Here is an 18733-nt window from a genome sequence, read left to right on the forward strand (position 1 = left end):
ACGATGGGTGCTCAACAGACATTTGTTAAAGTGAATTAATTTATTGATTCATCCATTCCATAAATGTGAGCTCCTTTGAATGTTATCCTTGCTGGGGGGATCTGTGCCCCCAGGCCTGGGGGCTGTCACAGGCCAAGGCCTCCCCACAGGAGCCCTGTGGTTACAGAGCTGCAGGCTCAAGGAGCCCATGGGTCAGAGAGGCAAGGCTGGGCTGCTGGTTTGCTTCAGGCTGTAGGGGGTGAGTGGGTGGAGGCAATGGGAGCGGCCCCTTGCCCCAGCTTGCCTCAGCTCTTGGAGTAACGCCTCTGCAGCGATTCCCGGTAGAAACGGAAGACGTGTTGCGAAGCGGCCTGGGCCGCAGCCAGGCACTGCTGGAGCTGCGGGGGAGAGACTGGTCGGTGCTGGGGGCCGAGCCCTTCATGCACACACGACTTGGCTGACCCAGGAGGTTCTGCTGACCCCACCTGACTCCCTTAACCTCCCATCACTCCCCTGCCCCCAAGTGAGGCAAGTGGTAAGGGATTATTTCCCATTTCATGAACTGTTTCTTAGAGATCAGGAGAAATAAAAAGAGGGAGAAGGACTTCAGGATCAGATTCTGACAGCAACAGGACTCAGACCTATCAGGCATCCTCACACCTTGGAGGAGGCCCCAGCTGTGCAGAGCTATGGAACTGGAGAGTGCACAGAATTGGAGTGGTCTTGGGATTTTACAGCCACAGTCCCCTTCAGCCCAAATAATCTAAGAGCCATGGAATCAAGAGACTCCCAGTCTTCACTGCCATGTATTCCTAGATTCATGAGGTCCAGGTTGGACATGCTTTTGCAGACAGTCATGTCCAAGAGTTTCCAGGCTCTGCCCCTTAGCCTGAGACCTGGAATTCCCATGGCTCACCACTCTGAGCTGGGAGCTGGGGGACCATCACATGCCCTCTTCTGACTTCAAACTGAGCTCATCCTCTTTTTGCCTGTGTTATAAATTGGGCTTCCCTTAAACATTTCCGCAAAGGTTTCTGGGTCCACAAAGTTTGAAAACTCCCTTTTTACAAGAAGAAATTTAAGAGGCTCTCCTGAAGCCTCTCAGAATCCAGGGCAGAGTTGGGACAAGACCGTATGTCAGTGGGAAGGAAGGTTCTGGCTTTTCCCCTCATCCCCATGCTGGTACCTCAGTGTCTGAGTAGAGCCCCTTGGTGCTGGACATCAGCAGCTTCCGTTCCACGCTGTCCAGGGCAAAGGTCAGGACTGCCCGGGCCTCCTAGGGACAAGGGGTAGAAGGCGGTGGGGGACCTAGGACCTTCCCCTCAGATAAAATCTCAGCCAGTCCTTTGGCCAGGCACAGTGGCTCATGACCATAATCTCACCACTTTGGGAGGCCAAGGCAGGGCACTGCTTGAGGCCAGAAACTCAAGACCAATCTGGGCAACAGAGGGAGACCCCATCTCAGAAAAAAAAAAAAAAAAAAGGTAGCTGGGTGTGGGGGTGCATGTCTGAGTTCCCAGCTACTCAGGAGGCAGAGGTGGGAGGACTGCTTGAGCCCAGGAGTTTGAAGCTGCAGTGAGCTGTGATCGTACTACACTCCAGCATGGGCGACAGTGAGACCCTGTCTCAACGCTCCCCTTCCCACCACACACTTGCAGCCAGTCCCACTGAGGGGACTCCGGACCCTTGGCCTCCAGGCCTCTCCCTTTCCATAGCCAGGCGCTCACCTATCAAGCATCAAGCGCAGCCATTTTTTGTCTACGCTACCCCTTCCCTACTTCCCTGGGTATAGCCCTCTGCCTTTCCTTTGTAGAACTGTACTCCATGCCCCTTATTCCAACCACGTGGTTCTGACAGGGGCTTCCAAGCTCAGTATTCCTGCCCCAAGGGGCTAGCCATAGTGCCACTCACTTATCTGGTACCTCTCGGCCTCCCAGTCCCCCTTCCATGCTCTGTCCCACAGGGGCTGGAAGCCAGCAAGCTGTATTTCCCAGACTCCCTTACCAGCTAGTTTCCATCAGTAATGAGGTGGGAGAATGGAAGAAAAGCAGCACCCTGGTCCTCATGGACAATGGCAGGTGCTGATGGCTGTGGCTGTGTGACAGCCATGGAGGTGGGGTGGGTTCTGGACCTCAGTGGCCAGGGCAGAAGCAGGACATGCTATGTGCATCCAGAACCAATTGAGATGATGTCTCCAACACGACAGAACAGGAGGTGGCTCGCAGGTTCAGTCCAGGTCTGGGAGGGGTTTCTCATCTCTGGGTGTCACTCCTGCTTCCTTTTTCCTCCTCTAGTTCCTCAACACTGTTGTTACAAAGTCCCTGCATTTAACTCCCTCCATCTGAAACCCTCCAAGTGGTTTCCGTCTTCTTGACTAGAGGGGACCATTATAGCACTGGGCAGAAAACTCAGAATAACTTGAGCTTAGGACACTGCACCTGAGCCGATGAGGAAAACTCTCTTCTCGTTTGCTTTTGAGCCTCCTAGGATGGAAATGGAGCTTAAGGGGTCAGTCCCAGCCTCAGGAAAGGTGCTGGCCAGAAAGAATGAAGCTGATGTGCAGAGAAAGGCAGGGACGAGAAGTGAAGCAAGGACATCCTGATGGTGTTTAAAGTCCTGGTTTTATTTTATTTTATTTTTGAGAGTTTCACTCTTTCATCCAGGCTGGAGTGAAGTGGTGCGATCTCAGCTCACTGTAACCTCCACCCTCCAGGTTTAAGTGATTCTCCTGCCTCAGCCTCCTGAGTAGCTGAGATTACAGATGTGTGCCACCATGCCTAGCTAACCTTTGTATTTTTAGTAGAGACAGGGTTTTGCAATGTTGGCCAGGCTGGTCTTCAACTCCCAGCCTCAGGTGATCTGCCTGCCTCAGACTCCCAAAGTGCTGGCATTACAGGTGTGAGCCACCACACCTGGCCATACATTTCCTTTCTAGTTTATTTATTTATATTTTTTGAGATGGAGTTTCACTCTTATTGCCCAGGCTGGAGTGCAATGGCGCGATCTCGGCTCACCACAACCTCCGCGTCCTGGGTTCAAGCGATTCTCCTGCCTCAGCCTCCTGAGTAGCTGGGATTACAGGCGTGCGCCACCACACCTGGCTAATTTTGTATTTTTAGTAGAGATGGGGTTTCTCCATGTTGGTCAGACTGATCTCGAACTCCCGACCTCAGGTGATCCACCCACCTCAGCCTCCCAAAGTGCTGGGATTACAGGCGTGAGCCACCGCTCCCGGCCCCACATTTCCTTCCTAATTAAGCAAGTCTGAGCTGGGTTTCCAGCACTTGCTGCTAAATGAACCATGATGATTAGAGCAGCCCTTGCTAAGTGGGATTGAGGTGGCATGAGCCGACTGTCTGTAGAGAAGCGAGGCCTGGAGGAAGGGACGGGCAGCTGTCTGGCCTCTGCCCTTCAGCCACCCTGGTCTTCACACCTACCTTTTCTTGCTTGGATGTAGGATCCAGCACGAGGGTCCCATCAGAGTCCAGGGCGCAGGCGACCCCACAGAAGAGAGCCCGCATGGGCACACCTGCATCCACCAATGCCATGCAGGCGGCATTCAGACAACAGGCCAGGAGCTGAGCACCACAGGAAATGGTTAAGTTTCTTTTTTTTTTTTTTGGAGATGGAGTTTCGCTCTTGTTGCCCAGGCTGGAGTGCAATGGTGTGATCTCGGCTCACTGCAACCTCCACCTCCTGGGTTCAAGCAATTCTCCTGCCTCAGCCTCCTGAGTAGCTGGGATTACAGGCACCCACCACCACACCCGGCTAATCTTTGTATTTTTAGTAGAGATGGGGTTTCACTATGTTGGCCAGGCTGGTCTGAAAACTCCTGACCTCAGGTGATCCACCTGCCTCGGCCTCCCAAAGTGCTGGGATTACAGGCATGAGCCACCACGCCCAGCCTAAGAAGTTTCTACTGTAGGCCTGGCCAGCAGAGCAGATCCATGCCTCCCTCCACCAGGCTGATGCCTATGGCAGACATCACTAATCGGTCACAGAAGGGCAGTATGGCAGAGTGGTTAAAAGTGGTCCGGGGATCAAGTAGCCCTGGGTTCCAGACCTAGTTTTGCTCAGCTGTGTGACCTTGAACAAGTGACTTACTCCTTGAGTCTCAATCTCCTCATCTGTTAGATGGGGAATATAATAATATTCAATAGGTATGTACTGAAGTACGTACCACACATTTGTTGGCAAATAGGGTCAGAGAGGGGAAGAAACCTTCCAAAGACACGAGGGGGAGGCACTGGCAAAGCCAGGCCCGAAACTTGGGTAGCAGCCACTCCCCGGTGACAGAGCTGGCAGGGCAATGGAGGAAGAGCCACCTCGCTGCTGCCTGCAGGAAGCTCACAGTGGAAAGAGAGCACAGGTTGGGAGTCAGCTGGCTCTGCCTCAGTTTCCTAATGTGTTTCTTCTCCAGGCCTAGCAGCCAGACAAAGACCACAGCTTTAGTCAACCGGTTCCAGCTCTGCTGCTGATCCTCCACGCCTTCCTCTGGGCTTCACTTTCCACTTCTGTAAAATGGGGTCACAATACCTTCTCTCTCTGCCCATCCATAAAATGTCTGTCCAGTTCAGGGCCACGTTCCAGTAAAGCCTTCTACAGTGTCTAATTCTAGTCCTCAACCTCAACCTCTCGCACCTCAGACATGGAGATCTTACAAGGCCACGCTCCTGACTCAGCTGCTGTCTGCTCAGGGCGCCCCCAGCACTGAGGGCCTGAAATCCACTGAGGTGCCGAGTAGAAGTGATTGCCAGCCGGGCACAGTAGCTCATGCCTGTAACCCCAGCACTTTGGGAGGCCAAGGTGGACTGATCACTCGAGGTCAGGAGTTCGAGACCAGCCTGGCCAACACAGCAAAACCCCGTCTCTACTAAAAATACAAAAATTAGCCTGGCGTGGTGGCAGGCACCTGTAATTCCACCTGTAATTCAGGAGGCTAAAGCATGGGAATCGCTTGAGCCCGGGAGGTAGAGGTTGCAGTAAGCTGACATTGCACCACTGCATCCAGCCTGGGTGACAGAGTGAGAGCCTGTCTCAAAAACAAACAAAAAAACCCAAAAAACAAAAGAAGTGATTGGCACAGGCTCTGGAGTCAGACTGGCCTGGGCTTGAGTCCTGCCTGTGCTGCCTTCCAGCTGTGTGACCTTGGGCAAGCCCCTTCCCCTCTCTGGGCCTCAGTTTTGTCACCTGAAACATGCGAACATAAGAACACTCATCTGCCAGGGTCCGTGGGCTCTAGAACTAGACGGTCTGGGTCTAAGTCTTGGCTCTGCCACTTCCACGGGGATCATAAGGGCATGTGCTATATTACATGAGTTAATGTGCATAAGGCACACAGAACAGTGCCTGGCACATAAGTAAGCACCCAGGCTGTTTGCTCTCCTTCTTCAGTGAGCTGGTACCTGTCAAGTGTTTGAAGGCTTTCTGGCTAGCAGTGAGGGTATATGTATCCGCCAGGAGGGAAGCAATCAGGAGACTTCCTGGAGGAGGAGGCCTGGCAGAAAGGATACAGAGCCGGCATCGCTGACAACCTGCAGCACCACGGTGATGGAGGTGCGGGGGTGCAACGTGCCCAGCACCACCGCCTCGCACGTGTTCCTGATCAGCCGCTCCCGGCTCTTCTCTGCAACACCTGGGGAAATTGAAGAGAGGTTCAGGGTCTTCCCCTTCATTTGACTCACCTTCCTCCATACGCCTCACCCAAATTCCCAGAAAGGGCTCACGGTCTCAGCCTGGGATGGTGCAGTTACCTGCAGGGATGATGGAAGATTCCAGTGGGAAGAAGGCAAGGCCTGACTGCCATCCACTGACCCCTGCTACCTCCAGCATCCACCAAGGGAACCATCCAAGGGAAGAAGACCTGGGAGTTCCATGTCTGTGCTGCTACCCACGCCCACTCCCACCCTAGCAGGTCCAGTCAGTGGGGACTGAGGGATATGAGGGTAAAAGGGTGGAAAAACAGGTTAATGGTCCAGGCACAGTGGCTCGCGCCTGTAATCCCAACACTTTGGGGGGCTGAGGCGGGCGGATCACTTGAGGTCAGGAGATCAAGACCATCCTGGCCAACATGGTGAAACCCCATCTCTACTAAAAAAATACAAAAAATTAGTGGGCATGGTGGCACGTGCCTGTAATCCCAGCGACTCGGGAGGCTGAGCCAGGGGAATTGCTTGAATCTGGGAGGCAGAGGTTGCAGTGAGCTGAGATCGTGCCACTGCACTCCAGCCGGGGTGACAGAGCGAGACACTGTCTCCAAAAAAAAAATAAATAAATAAAAATAAATAAAAGAAAAACAGGTTAATGGAATGAATGAGAGTGGAGGCAGAGAGAGGGAGAAAAGAGGGAGGGAGAAATTAGAGGCAGAGAGAGAAGCAACAGAAGATGAGTTATTAATTAGAGGCGGAGAGTTAAAGACAGAAACAGCTGAGTGGAGACCCAAGCGGGGAGTGGAGACTCGGGGCAGCTGGTAGGGAGGAGCTGGGGGGGTGATTTTGACAAACTGGGCACCACTCAGAGGTTCAGCAGGGCCCAATTACCAGGCAGCCCAATCTTCGGCCTCAGGATCACTTCGAGTGTGGCCTTGTTGAAAATCTCTTTGCTGACCTTCACCTCGGCCGGCCCGTACACACCCGCCAGGACAGAGGTGTCACCTGAGGAGACAGCAGGGAGGGCCTCACTCACAGCTTCCCTGCTCCTGGGGCCCCATTTGTGGCACTGAGCCTGACGGCCAGGGCTCCCCACGTCACCCCCGCCATTTGTTGGTACTGATTCTTTGAGCACTCACTTCATTTCTCTCATTTGTAAAATGGGGAAAATAGCAGTCCCTCCCCGCTAGCGTCTTGTGAGGATCAAAGGACACAATTCACAGAAAACACTTAGAACACTGCGGGGCTCACGCTGAATGTGCAACAGACTTTAGCTGTATTAGTAACATTCGTCCATTCAGGCATTCAGGCAGGGTCTCACTCTCATTGCCCAGGCTGGAGTGCAGTGGTGCCATCACGGCTCATTGCAGCCTTGACCTTCTGGGCTCAAGTGATCCTCCCGCCTCAGCCTCCCAAGTAGCTGGAACTACAGGCATGTGCCACCATGCCTGACTAATTTTTATATTTTTAGTAGAGAGGGGATTTTGCCATGTTGCTCAGGCGGGTTTCGAACTCCTGGGCAACTGTAATCCCAAGGTGCTAGGATTACAGGCGTGAGCTACCACGCCTGGCCCTGATATTAGTAATTTTTTTTTTTTTAATGAGATGGAGTCTTGCTCTGTCGCCCAGGCTGGAGTGCAGTGGCGTAATCTCGGCTCACCGCAACCTCTGCCTCCCGGGTTCAAGCAGTTCTCCTGCCTCAGCCTACTGAGTAGCTGGGATTACAGGCGCGCGCCACCACACCTGGCTAATTTTTTTATTTTTAGTAGAGACTGGGTTTCACCATGTTGGTCAGGCTGGTCTCGAACTTCCTGACCTCATGATCTGCCCGCCTCCCAAAGCGCTGGGATTACAGGCGTGAGCCACTGTGCCCGGCTGGTATTAGTAACTTTTAACAGGAAGTTCTTCCTGAAAGCTAACCATCCTCCCTCTTACTGCAGCTGCTCTCAACTTCTCTTTCCAAAGCTTCCCCAGCCCAGCTCTTCCCTTAGGCACTGGCCCCCAAATTTTGCATCAGTCTGGACACCTGAGAAAGGGATAATATCTGGAATGAATCCTGATTCCTTATTTCCCCAGAAGCTATGAACGGGGTACAGGAGGTAAAACCTAAGAAATAAACAGCCTGGCTTCTAGTACTGTCTGCTGTAATCCCAGCACTTTGGGAGGCTGAGGTGGGTGGATCACCTGAGGTCAGGAGTTTGAGACCATCCTAGTCAACATGGTGAAACCCTATCTCTACTAAAGATACAAAAATTAGCTGGGCATAGTGGTGGGTGCCTGTAATCTCAGCTACTTGGGAGGCCGACGCAGGAGAATTGCTGGAACCGGGGAGGCGGAGGTTGCAGTGAGCCGAGATCACACCATTGCACTCCAGCCTGGACAATAACAGCAAGGCTTAGTCTCAATAAAAAAAAAAAAATACATTTTAGGCCAGGCATGGTGGCTCACACCTGTAATCCCAGCACTATGGAGGCCCAGGTGGGAGGACTGCTTGAGGCCAGGAGTTTGAGACCAGCCTGAGCAGCATAGGAAGACTCCTGTCTCTATTTTCTTTTTTGGGACAGAGTTTCCCTCTGTCACCCAGGAGGCTGGAGTGCAGTGGCGCAATCTCAGTTCACTGCAACCTCCGCCTCCCAGGCTCAAGTGATTCTTGTACCTCAACCTCCAGAGTAGCTGAGATTACAGGTGCGTGCTACCACATCCGACTAATTTTTGTATTTTTAGTAGAGATGGGTTTTCACCATGTTGGCCAATCTGGTCTCAGAACTCCTGACCTCAACCAAGCGAGGTGGCTCACGCCTGTAATCCCAGCACTGTGGGAGGCTGAGGCAGGTGGATCACAGGGTCAGGAGTTCAAGATCAGCCTGGCCAACATGGTGAAACCCCGTCTCTACTAAAAACCACAAAAATTAGCCGGGCGCGGTGGCACGCACCTGTGGTCCCAGCTACTCAGGAGGCTGAGGCAGAAGAATTGCTTGAACCCGGGAGGTGGAGGGTGCAGTGAGCCACGATCACTTCACTGCACTCCAGCCTGGGCGACAGGGCGAGACTCCATCTCAAAAAAAAAAAAAGAAAAAAAAAAAAAGAACTCCTGACCTCAGAGGCCTCCCAAAGTGCTGGGATTACCGCTGTGAGCAACTGCACCCGGCCTCTTCTTAATTCTTACGTTCGAAGAAACTTTAGGTATCTCAATTCAGCATAAGCGCTAAGCCTGAGGGAGGGCCTGGGAAGGTCCTTGGTTAAGGCCGTATTTCCTGGGAAGCCCAATTTGCCCTTACACGGAAGGTATGCTTAGTTCCAGGAGAAACTGCCCTGAGGACTGGAGAAGTTACCAAAACAGAACTTGCCTCTGGCTCCAGATGAACTGCCTGTGTTTTGCCCGAGCACAAGAGTCTCTCCCCTCTCACCTTCTTGAAGACGTGGCTCCAGCAATTCTCTCCCCTGTTGACCCCACAACAATCTACAACTCCTGCCCCACTTATCTGATCCTCTTACAGCAGAACTCCTGAACAGCTGCCTCTTCTTCCTTTTCTGTGACCCCACCACTCCATTGCGGCAGCTCAACATCGTCACCACTGACCTCCAAATGATCAACCCTCCCATGACCCGGCTGTCAGTAAGGCTGAAACAGCTGGTCAGCCCTCACATCTCAGACATGCTCTTTTCTTGGCCCCAGGTCACCACCATCTCCTGGTTTCCCCCTAACTCTCTGGGCGTTCCTTCTGAGTCTCCTTTGCTAGCTTGTCACATGTCTCTGACTGCTCAAGTTGGAAGGCCTAGGGCTTGGTCCTGGGACCTCTTCTCTTTTCCATCTACACTCACTTCGTTCAGGCAATAGCCTGAAATACCATCTATATAGCCAGAGAGTTCCAAATTGCCTATGTCCAGCTTGGGTCTCTCTTCTGATTTCCAGACTTGTACAGATCTGGGCAGAAACCTTAGTTATGCCTGAATCTTTTTCCTCGCACTCAAACCAAACTATACGTAAGTTTTGTCCGTATTACTTTCAAACTACATCCAGAATCTCATCACCTCCACTACTCCTGCTCTGGCTGGAGCCACCATCACCTCCCTGTTTTCCCCCATACTCCCCACAATCAACACAGCAGCCAAATTTTGTTAAAATGTATTGGGGCTGGGCGTGGTGGCTCATACCTGTATGAGCACTTTGGGAGGAGGATTGCTTGAGCCCAGGAGTTCAAGACCAACCTGGGTGACATCGTGAGACGCTGTCTCAATTTTTTTTTTTTTTGAGACAGAGTCTTGCTTTGTCGCTCACGCTGGAGTACAATGGCACGATCTCGGCCCACTGCAACTTCTGCCTCCCAGGTTCAAGTGATTGTCCTGCCTCAGCCTCCCGAGTAGCTGGGATTACAGGCGCCCGCCACCATGCCTGGCTAGTTTTTGTATTTTTAGTAGAGACAGGGTTTCGCCATGTTGGCCAGGCTGGTCTCGAACTCCTGACCTCAGGTGAGCCACAGGTCTTGGCCTCCCAAAGTGTGGGGATTACAGGCGTGAGCCACCGCCCCCGGCCTCCCGTCTCAAACGTTAAAGAGAAATATTCTTGGAGTTAATCTACTTCTGAGAGTTATTTAGCTAGGAAAAGGGGATATTTGCTCTATAGGTAAGACTTGCCCTAATCTTTTTTTTTTTTTTTTTTTTGACTTGCCCTAATCTTAGGGATATTTACTTGTGTGGAGAGATGCAGTGAGGTAGCGGTGGGGATGTATTTCTCAACCCAGCGCAATGACATTATCTTCAATTTGAGGAGTATTTACGTGGGTGAAAGATCCGCCACAGTCCACAGTATGCAAATAGACAGGTTTGCTTCAGTCCGGGATGCAAGGACCTAGAGGGTGTGTGTGTGGGGGGTGGGGGTGGGAGGGTGGAGGAGGAATCGAGTTAAGGGGGATATTTACCCTGGCGAGGTGATTTTCCCTATTCTGAAATATCAATTCTTGGGCGGACAGTCTGCCCCTCCTCTCATTCTCAGAGATAGTTACAAAGATGGAACTATCTTCTCCTTTCTAGTCGTGAGGGAGAGATGTGTGTATCCCTGCGTATTTAGTAGTATTCAATCGGACAAGAAATCATGCATCAACGCAGGAGTGACATTTACCAGCTGGTATCGTGAGGAGGTGGGCACTCGGTTGCACAGTACACGGTAGTCCCTCTCCAAAAGAAAGACCTGGGTGAAGTTCTTACCTTGCAGGAAGGAAGCAGAGCCATCTGGCCGCGACAGCAGGTTCTGTTCGCAGGCAAAGTGCCGGAGGCTGCAGCCAGGACCCCGAGGGCTGGACCCTGTTCCATTTTCAGCACGGATTTTGGCGTCAGTATGCGTCTCCTCCTCCATCGCGCCGAGCCCACGTGCGGCTGCAGTTGTCACTTCCGCCTGGCAGCGCGCGCCGCAAACAGGCTGCGTAACCAGTGCGCACGCGCCGGGCTGGGCCATCCTCCTGGGCGTCCGCACGTGGCTTAGCGTTTACCAACAATCTGGCTCCGCCCAGTCCCACCTCCTAACTCTGGCAACGCCATTGGACATTTGGGAACAGAAGGCAGGCCTTGGCATTGATCCGCTTTACTCTGGGCCCCCGGGCCCTAAATCCCTGAGGCCCTGGTCAGGTTGCCCTCTTCTTTGCCTGTTACAGGAGTAACTACAATGAGGCGATTGGAGAAAATTTTGGGTAGATAGATTTTTTTTTCTCCAAATCTCTGTGCATTCTATCTACCACAGAACGGGAAGAAGATGGTTTTCTTGTCAGATGGTGCTGGAGTTTGCGTCAGGCACATAAAGAGGCAGCCCCGAATCTAGCCTACGTGAGTGCCGGACCGCTGAGTGGTTGTTAGCCAAGATGGCGGTAGCGATCGCTGCAGCGAGGGTCTGGCGGCTAAACCGTGGTTTGAGCCAGGCTGCCCTCCTGCTGCTGCGGCAGCCTGGGGCTCGGGGACTGGCTAGATCTGTGAGTACCTGGGCCCCAGGCGGTTTTCCCAAAGGGGATTAGGGATGTAAAGGCTATCTTCAGAGTGTGGGGTCCCTGAAGGATATGAAGGAAGGGCTGTCACAAAAGGGAAAAAGAGTGGGAGACTCCTTGGAGAAGACACCGAAGGGAAGATCTGCCACTTCCTTAGGAGACGAAAAGAACTTCCACTTCTTTAGGAGAGGAAAAAACCCGTTTGCAACTTCTTTGTGGGCCCTGAGGGAGACGACTTGAAGAGAGAGATGGGGGTTCCTTATTAGCTGCCACTGGTATTCAGGGGAGGCTCCTTGGAGGAACAGGGGAAGACCGCAAGACCTTCTCCCTCAGGGTTTGGAGAATGAAACTGACTTTGTAAGGGAGGGACTTTCTTCTGGGCAAAGATCCCTCTTCAAGAAGAAGAAAGAAGAGAACAGGTCCCTGTCACAGGCTGCATAGGGCCTTGTATTTCTTTGCTCCTTTGCCACAATTCTGATTTTAAAATGAATTGTGTAAAAAATTTGTTTGATTCCTGTGTCTCTTGATCGAATATCAAGACAGAGAATTCGTGTGTTCTGGACACTGTACAGAGGAGACGATTAATATTTGTTGAATTAATGAGGGGAAAAAAGGAGGGAGAGAGGTACAGACAGGGCACTTTGCCCACATTTCTTAGAAACACTTGAGAAGGCTTTGTTTCTTGTCAAAAGGGTCACAATCCCTTCAGGTGGATGCTGCTAAGGGCAAGATTACACTGCAAAAAACCTAGGTGGAAGCCTATCTTTAGACGGGGAGAGGCAATGGGTTGCAGAAGAGCTTTGAACTACAGTTGACAGATAGGAGAGTAGTGGTTACATGGGTGGATGCATGTCCTTGCTCTGCCGCTTTCCACTTGTGTAGCCTTGGCCAACGGACTGCACTTCTCTGGATCTATGGAGCTAATTTTCCTCTCTAAAATATTAACAGTGGCCACCTCATAGGGCTGTGAAAAATCAATATGTAAAATGCTAAGGACTGGACCTGGCACATCCTAAGGGCAATAGGAATGTTGATAGTGAGGGTGGAGGGAAGGGACAGAAACTAACCTTGGAGATGGGGAGAAGAAAGGGGTGACCTTGGGAAGGCCTGGATTGGTGAGGCCCTGGGGAAAAAAATCTGAAAAGATATTGTGAGGTTGAGTCTGATCCTCTGATCCCCAATCCATAAGGAGGGGAAGATGGAATCTGTAGAAAGAAGCTCTGGGTAGGGGAACAAACGGGAGGAGGGTGAAGAAGATGGGCCAGGAGTAGGACGTAGTAGGTATCTAGGAACGGAGTCACTTGAAACAGGTAAATACAGAAGGGCTGCAGGAGCAAGGTGTGGGTAGGGCAGTCTCTTGCCTTTGGGCTGGAGACCTTTTCACTTTTTTTTTTTTTTTTTTTTTTGAGCAGTTCATATCCTCCACAGCTGATCTCAGTCCCAGGGGCCCATTGGCTGGGCAAGTGGGGCAGGAGGTGGGCAGGACTGGGGCAGGCTAGGGAAAGGTCATTTATGGCTGATTAAATCTTTCTCTCCTGTCTCAATCTCTTGATTACCTTTCCTCTTGCTTCCCCTACTTCATTTTTGGTGGGGAGTGGGGAGGGAAGAAGTCCCTACTTTTTATTTATATATATTTAAATTTGTATTATCTTAAGAGTTATTGTTTTTTCCCCTTTATTTCTCCCACCTGTTCTTTCTCTCTTCTTCTTTCTTTCCTCTCCTTCTCCTCTCCTCTCCTCCCCTCTCCTTTTTCTTTTCTTTTCTTTTTCCCTTTCCTTTCCTTTCCTTTTCTCTTCTCTTTTCTCTCTCTCTTTCTTTCTGTACCTCTCTTTCCTTTTTCTTTTTTTTTCTTTTTTGAGACAGAGTTTCACTCTCTCGCCTAGGCTGGAGTGCAGCAGCATGATCTTGACTTACTGCAATCTCTGCCTGCCGAGTTCAAGCAATTCTCCTGCCTCAGCCTCCCTAGTAGCTGGGATTACAGGCATGCACTATCACGCCTGGCTAATTTTTGTATTTTTGGTAGGGACGAGGTTTCACCATGTTGTCCAGGCTGGTCTCGAACTTCTGGCCTCAAGTTCCGCCTGTCTTGGCCTCCAAAAGCATGAGCCACTGCGCCTAGCCTTTTCTTTTTTTGAGACAAGGTCTCACTCTGTCACCCAGGCTGGAGTGAGTGCAGTGGTGTGATCATGGCTCACTGCAGCCTCAACCTCCTGGGCTCAAGCAATCCCCCCACCTCCACCTCCTAAGTAGCTGGGACCACAGGCACGTGCTACTACGCCTGGCTAATTTTTAATTTTTTTTTTTTTTTTTGAGACGGAGTCTTGCTCTGTCACCCAAGCTGGAGTGCAGTGGCACGATCTCGGCTCACTGCAACCTCCACTTCCCAGGTTCAAGTGATTCTCCTGCCTCAGCCTCCCAAATAGCTGGGACTACTGGCGTGCGCCACCATACCCAGTTAATTTTTGTATTTTTAGTAGAGATGGGGTTTCACCATGTTGACCAGGCTGGTCTTGAACTCCTGATCTAAGGTGATCTGCCCGCCTCGGCCTCCCAAAGTGCTGGGATTACAGGCATAAGCCACTGTGCCTGGCTGCGCCTGGCTAATTTTTAAATCTTTGTAGAGATGGGGTTTTGCCATGTTTTCCAGGCTGGTCTTGAACTCCTGGACTCAAGCGATCTTCCTGCCTCAGCCTCCCAAAGTGCAGGATGACAAGCGTGAGCCACCTTGCCTGGCCATATTATTAAATTATCATGAGTTTAAGTTTAAGTAGCCACAAGTGGGCTGGGTGCGGTGGCTCATGCCTGTAATCCCAGCATTTTGAGAGGCCAAGGTGGGCGGGTTGCCTGAGGCCAGGAGTTCAAGACCAGCCTGGCCAACATGGTGAAACCCCATCTCTACTAAAAATACAAAAAAATTAGCTGGGCGTAATGGCGTGTGCCTGTAGTCCCAGCTACTTGGGAGGCTGAGGCAGAAGAATCGCTTGAACCTGGGAGGCGGAGATTGCAGTGAGCCGAGATCGCACCACTATACCCCAGCCTAGGTGACAGAGCAGCCCTCTGTCTCAAAATAAGATAGCCACAAGTGGTTGGTGGCTGCCACATTAGATGGTGCAGGGTTTTTGTTTTGTTTTGTTTTTTGTTTTTTCGAGGTGGAGTTTTGCTCTCATTGCCTAGGCTGGAGTGCAATGGCATGATCTTGGCTCACCACAACCTCCTCTTCCTGGGTTCAAGCGATTCTCCTGCCTCAGCCTCCCGAGTAGCTGGGATTACAGGCATGCACCACCATGCCTGGCTAATTTTGTATTTTTAGTAGAGACAGGGTTTCTCCATGTTGATCAGGCTGGTCTTGAACTCCCGACCTCAGGCGACCCACCCACCTCGGCCTCCCAGAGTGCTGGGATTACAGGTGTGAGCCACCATGCCTGGCTAAGATGATGCAGTTTTATCCAGGTGGAGATGAAGAAATAGTCAGGGAAAGGTTGAGAGGCTGCATATTGTAGACAGATTGGATTACTGGGTTCACTGGGGAAGATTGGATTAGAAGGAGGAGTGGGGCTGCTTTACTTGTCCCCGACTTCTTGCCCCTGCTCTGCCCACTCCTTCATTGAATACCCTGCTGCCCTGCAGATGTGTTTGCCTGATTTTCACCTCCCTTCCTGTCTCTGTTATCATAGCAGACGTTTTAGTGCTCAGGGAAAGGAGGAGGAAGGAAACTCAGATTGTCAAGGAATTGTGAGTCAGTTTCTCAGCCACTACCCCAGGCCTGGGCTTGGCTAAGTCATTTCACCTCTCTGACCCTAGCTAGTGGGGTGAATAGAGTCCCTACCCTGTTGGAAGTCAGGAAGCCCCTGGAGCTCGCTCTGTGCTAATTATCGGTGACTATTTCTGTGACCCAGCTCTTCAGGGGCAGCCTGTCTGGGGGTTCCAGTGCCCTGTGCAGTATCTCCAAGTGGTAGGTACTCAGTGTATGTATTAGTCCGTTTTCAGGCTGCTAATAAAAACACACCCAAGACTGGGTAATTTATAAAGAAAAAGAGGCTTAATGGACTCACAGTTCCACATGGCTGGGGAAGCCTCACAAACATGGCGGAAGGCAAATGAGGAGCAAAGTCACATCTTACATGGTGGCAGGCAGACAGAGTGCTTGCAGGGGAACTCCCCTTTATAAAACCATCAGATCTCGTGAGACTTATTCAGTATAATGAGAACAGCACGTGAAAGATCCACCCCCATAATTCAATTACCTCCCACTGGCTCCTTCCCACAACATGTGGGAATTATGGGAGCTATAATTCAAGATGAGATTTGAGTGGGGACAGAGACAAACCATGTCAGTGTGTATTGTGGGATGAATGGAGATGGTCATTACAGTCTTCTAAGTGTATGGGTCCATCTCTTACTTGCTAGTGTGTTAAGAAACCTGGCCTCCTTTTTCACATCTTGAGGCACTGAATGGTTTACAAATCCAACTCTAATTTTTTATTATATTTAATACACCAATAGTGCAAGGCCTTTATTGGTAGTACTCTCCTATTACAGATGGAGAGACTGAGGCTCAGAGAGGTGAGGTCTGAACTTGGAGCTCTGGACTCCAAAACCCAGTTTCTTTTCATGGTACCAGGCTGCCAGGAGGAGAAAGGATGGAGCTTAGATTCAAGTCTTGCAACATTCTTCTTAGTCCAGTATTGGCTTATTTTGTTTTATATTTTTTTGAGACGGAGTCTTGCTCTGTTACCCAGGCTGGAGTGCAGTGGCGTGATTTCTGCTCACTGCAACCTCTGCCTCCTGGGTTAAGCGATTGTCCTGCCTCCCCCTCTCGAGTAGCTGGGACTACAGGTGTGTGCCACCGTGTCCGGCTAATTTTTATATTTTTAATAGAGACAGGGTTTTGCCATGTTGGCCAGGCTGGTCTCGAACTCCTGGCCTCAACTGATCCACCCACCTCAGCCTCCCAAAGTGCTGGGGTTACAGGCGTGAGCCACCATGTGTGGCCGGGCAGGTGATTTTTCTTGTCTTTCGCCTCTTTCCACTTCAGTCCCCCTGGCCATCTTTCCCTTCCTTGAATGTGCCTCCTCCCACCTGGTGGCCTTTGTAGGTATGAGGTCCTTCAGATGATGGCTGACATGACACTTCCTCAGAGAAGCGTTCCAGACCCCAAACACCAGGTCTCTGTCTGTGAAACAGGGACAGTGATACCTGCCTAATCTGCACGCCTTTCCCTTCTCACGAGATATTCTGGGAAGGGGGACTCAACTCTTTGCTCTGTTTGAGGGCAGAGTGCCTTTGAGCTCAGGAGAGAGTGGGTTTGGGTGGCCTTAGCTACCCTAGATACGGAGGACTTGGAGTTAACTGGCACCATCCACAAAGCCTTGCATGCACTGGACCTGAACAAGTTGCTTAGCCCTTGAGGCGGCGCCTCAGCTACCACCTGTCTTTGATGGAGTTATGATAACAGTGCCTGCCCCGTCTGGATGCCTTATGGGTTCAGTGAGCACATAGGTGTAAATAAAGTGCTTTGAGTGGCACCTCAGCATGTAGTTATTCTCTGATTGACCTATAGCAGCCATGCCAGTCTTCAGGGTCCCAGGGCGCCAGGCTTTCTTCTCTTGCCTTGGAGCCTTGGTTTTTCCCTAGGACTGAAGTGTTCTGACCCCTTGGCTGAACTCCCCCTTCTTTAGGAAGCTTTCCCTGGTGTGCCATCTGATGCTGGTGCTTCCTGGAGGGGTACTATCTGATCCTAGCTGGTGAGGCATTCCTGCCAGAGCTGCGGCAGGTGCTTTCCCCGCCTCTCCACCAGCCTGTGAGGTGGATGCCATCCCCACGAGGGCACGCAGGTTCACAGAGACTGGCTCCTGTCCAAGGCCGCGTGGCTGGAAAGAGACAGAACCAGATTCAAACACCAGCAGTTTAACCCTAGAGACCCTCATCCTACCTCCTATGTGGGTAACCACTATACATCCTGCCTCCTCTGAAATCTCCCGTTTTTTTTTATTTTAAAATTTTATGTGAGTATTTACTTATTTATTTGCTGCTGTTGTTATTGTTTTGAGACAGAGTCTTGCTCTGTTTTCACCCAGGCTGGAGTGCAGTGGTGCGATCTTGGCTCACTGCAACCTCTGCCTCCTCGGCTCAAGCGATTCTCGTGCCTCAGTCTCCCGAGTAGCTGGGACTACAGACATGCACCACCATGCCTGGCTAATTTTTGTGTCTTTAGTAGAGATGGGGTTTCGCCATATTGGCCAGGCTGGTCTTGAACTCCTGGCTTCGAGTGAACTGCCTGCCCTGGCCTCCCAAAGTATTGAGATTATAAGCATAAGCCACTGTGCCCGGCCAAAATTTTATTTATTTATTTATTTTTTTGAGATGTAGTCTTGCTCTGTCACCCAGGCTGGAGTGCAGTGGCACAATCTCGGCTCACTGCAAGCTCTGCCTCCCAGGTTGACGCCATTCTCCTGCCTCAGCCTCCCGAGTAGCTGGGACTACAGGCGCCCGCCACCACGCCCGGCTAATTTTTTGTATTTTTAGTAGAGATAGGGTTTCACCTTATTAGCCAGGATGGTCTCGATCTCCCGACCTCATGATCCGCCCGCCTCGGTCTCCCAAAGTGCTGGGATTACAGGCGTGAGCCACCACGCCCAGCCTAATTTTATTTATTAATTTATTTGAGATGGAGTCTCACTCTGTCACCCAGGCTGGAGTGCAGTGGTGCGATCTTGGCTCACTGCAACCTCCACCTCCCAGGTTCAAGCGATTCTCCTGCCTCAGCCTCCTGAGTAGCTGGGACTATAGGTGCGTGCCACCACGCCTGGCTAATTTTTGTATTTTTAGTAGAGATGGGGTTTCACCATCGTGATCAGCCTGACAGGCTGGTCATGAACTCCTGACCTTAAGTGATTCACCTGCCTCAGCCTCCCAAATCTGCTGGGATTACAGGCATGAGCCACCGCACCCAGCCATATTATTTCTGTATTTTCATTTGGCTTACCTGTCAACTTGACACTTTTTTGTTTTTTTAGGCTAGTCAGGTGAAGCAATGTGAGTAAGATCACCTGTCTTGATTATAACTTGTGTGTTCAGTGTTTGTCATTCATCCCTCCCTGTCTCTAGCCTTCAGTTCAGGGCATGATTTGGAGC

General features: G+C 51.2%; 2 protein-coding genes across 3 annotated transcripts in view, besides 6 other annotated features; one reads left to right on the top strand and one right to left on the bottom strand.

The window, feature by feature from the left end:
• Window positions 1-179: a silencer, noted in NCBI's record as "fragment chr19:41892254-41892432 (GRCh37/hg19 assembly coordinates)". NCBI's record gives its function as "represses an EF-1alpha promoter that drives an FKBP-Casp9 reporter gene in an ReSE screen in HepG2 liver carcinoma cells {active_cell/tissue: HepG2}" and the evidence as "EXISTENCE:reporter gene assay evidence [ECO:0000049][PMID:32094911]".
• On the bottom strand, window positions 26-11011 carry EXOSC5 (exosome component 5). Its single transcript, NM_020158.4, has 6 exons — window positions 10833-11011; window positions 6519-6632; window positions 5493-5614; window positions 3417-3557; window positions 1166-1255; window positions 26-377 (listed from the first exon to the last, which is right to left on the bottom strand). Exons 1-6 carry the CDS (start codon window positions 10978-10980, stop codon window positions 285-287), a joined length of 708 nt encoding a protein of 235 aa, NP_064543.3. The 5' UTR covers window positions 10981-11011; the 3' UTR covers window positions 26-284.
• Window positions 10934-11222: a silencer, noted in NCBI's record as "fragment chr19:41903187-41903475 (GRCh37/hg19 assembly coordinates)". NCBI's record gives its function as "represses an EF-1alpha promoter that drives an FKBP-Casp9 reporter gene in an ReSE screen in HepG2 liver carcinoma cells {active_cell/tissue: HepG2}" and the evidence as "EXISTENCE:reporter gene assay evidence [ECO:0000049][PMID:32094911]".
• Window positions 10934-11653: a biological region, named in NCBI's record as "H3K27ac hESC enhancer GRCh37_chr19:41903234-41903906".
• Window positions 10981-11653: an enhancer, noted in NCBI's record as "H3K27ac hESC enhancer chr19:41903234-41903906 (GRCh37/hg19 assembly coordinates)". NCBI's record gives its function as "activates a minimal SCP1, AML or CMV promoter by ChIP-STARR-seq in naive H9 embryonic stem cells {active_cell/tissue: H9 hESC(naive)}" and the evidence as "EXISTENCE:reporter gene assay evidence [ECO:0000049][PMID:30033119]".
• Window positions 11219-11498: an enhancer, noted in NCBI's record as "active region_14680". NCBI's record gives its function as "activates an Ori minimal core promoter by ATAC-STARR-seq in GM12878 lymphoblastoid cells {active_cell/tissue: GM12878}" and the evidence as "EXISTENCE:reporter gene assay evidence [ECO:0000049][PMID:35858748]".
• Window positions 11470-18733, top strand: part of BCKDHA (branched chain keto acid dehydrogenase E1 subunit alpha) — a 27185-nt gene continuing 19921 nt past the window's right edge. For both annotated transcript variants that reach the window (NM_000709.4, NM_001164783.2), the window contains exon 1: window positions 11470-11587. In NM_000709.4, coding sequence (NP_000700.1) covers window positions 11480-11587 — 108 coding nt within the window. In that variant the 5' untranslated portion in view covers window positions 11470-11479. The remainder of the gene's footprint in view (window positions 11588-18733) is intronic.
• Window positions 11654-12325: an enhancer, noted in NCBI's record as "H3K27ac hESC enhancer chr19:41903907-41904578 (GRCh37/hg19 assembly coordinates)". NCBI's record gives its function as "activates a minimal SCP1, AML or CMV promoter by ChIP-STARR-seq in naive H9 embryonic stem cells {active_cell/tissue: H9 hESC(naive)}" and the evidence as "EXISTENCE:reporter gene assay evidence [ECO:0000049][PMID:30033119]".

Source organism: Homo sapiens, chromosome 19 (assembly GCF_000001405.40).
Source record: "Homo sapiens chromosome 19, GRCh38.p14 Primary Assembly".
Lineage (NCBI taxonomy): Eukaryota > Metazoa > Chordata > Mammalia > Primates > Hominidae > Homo > Homo sapiens.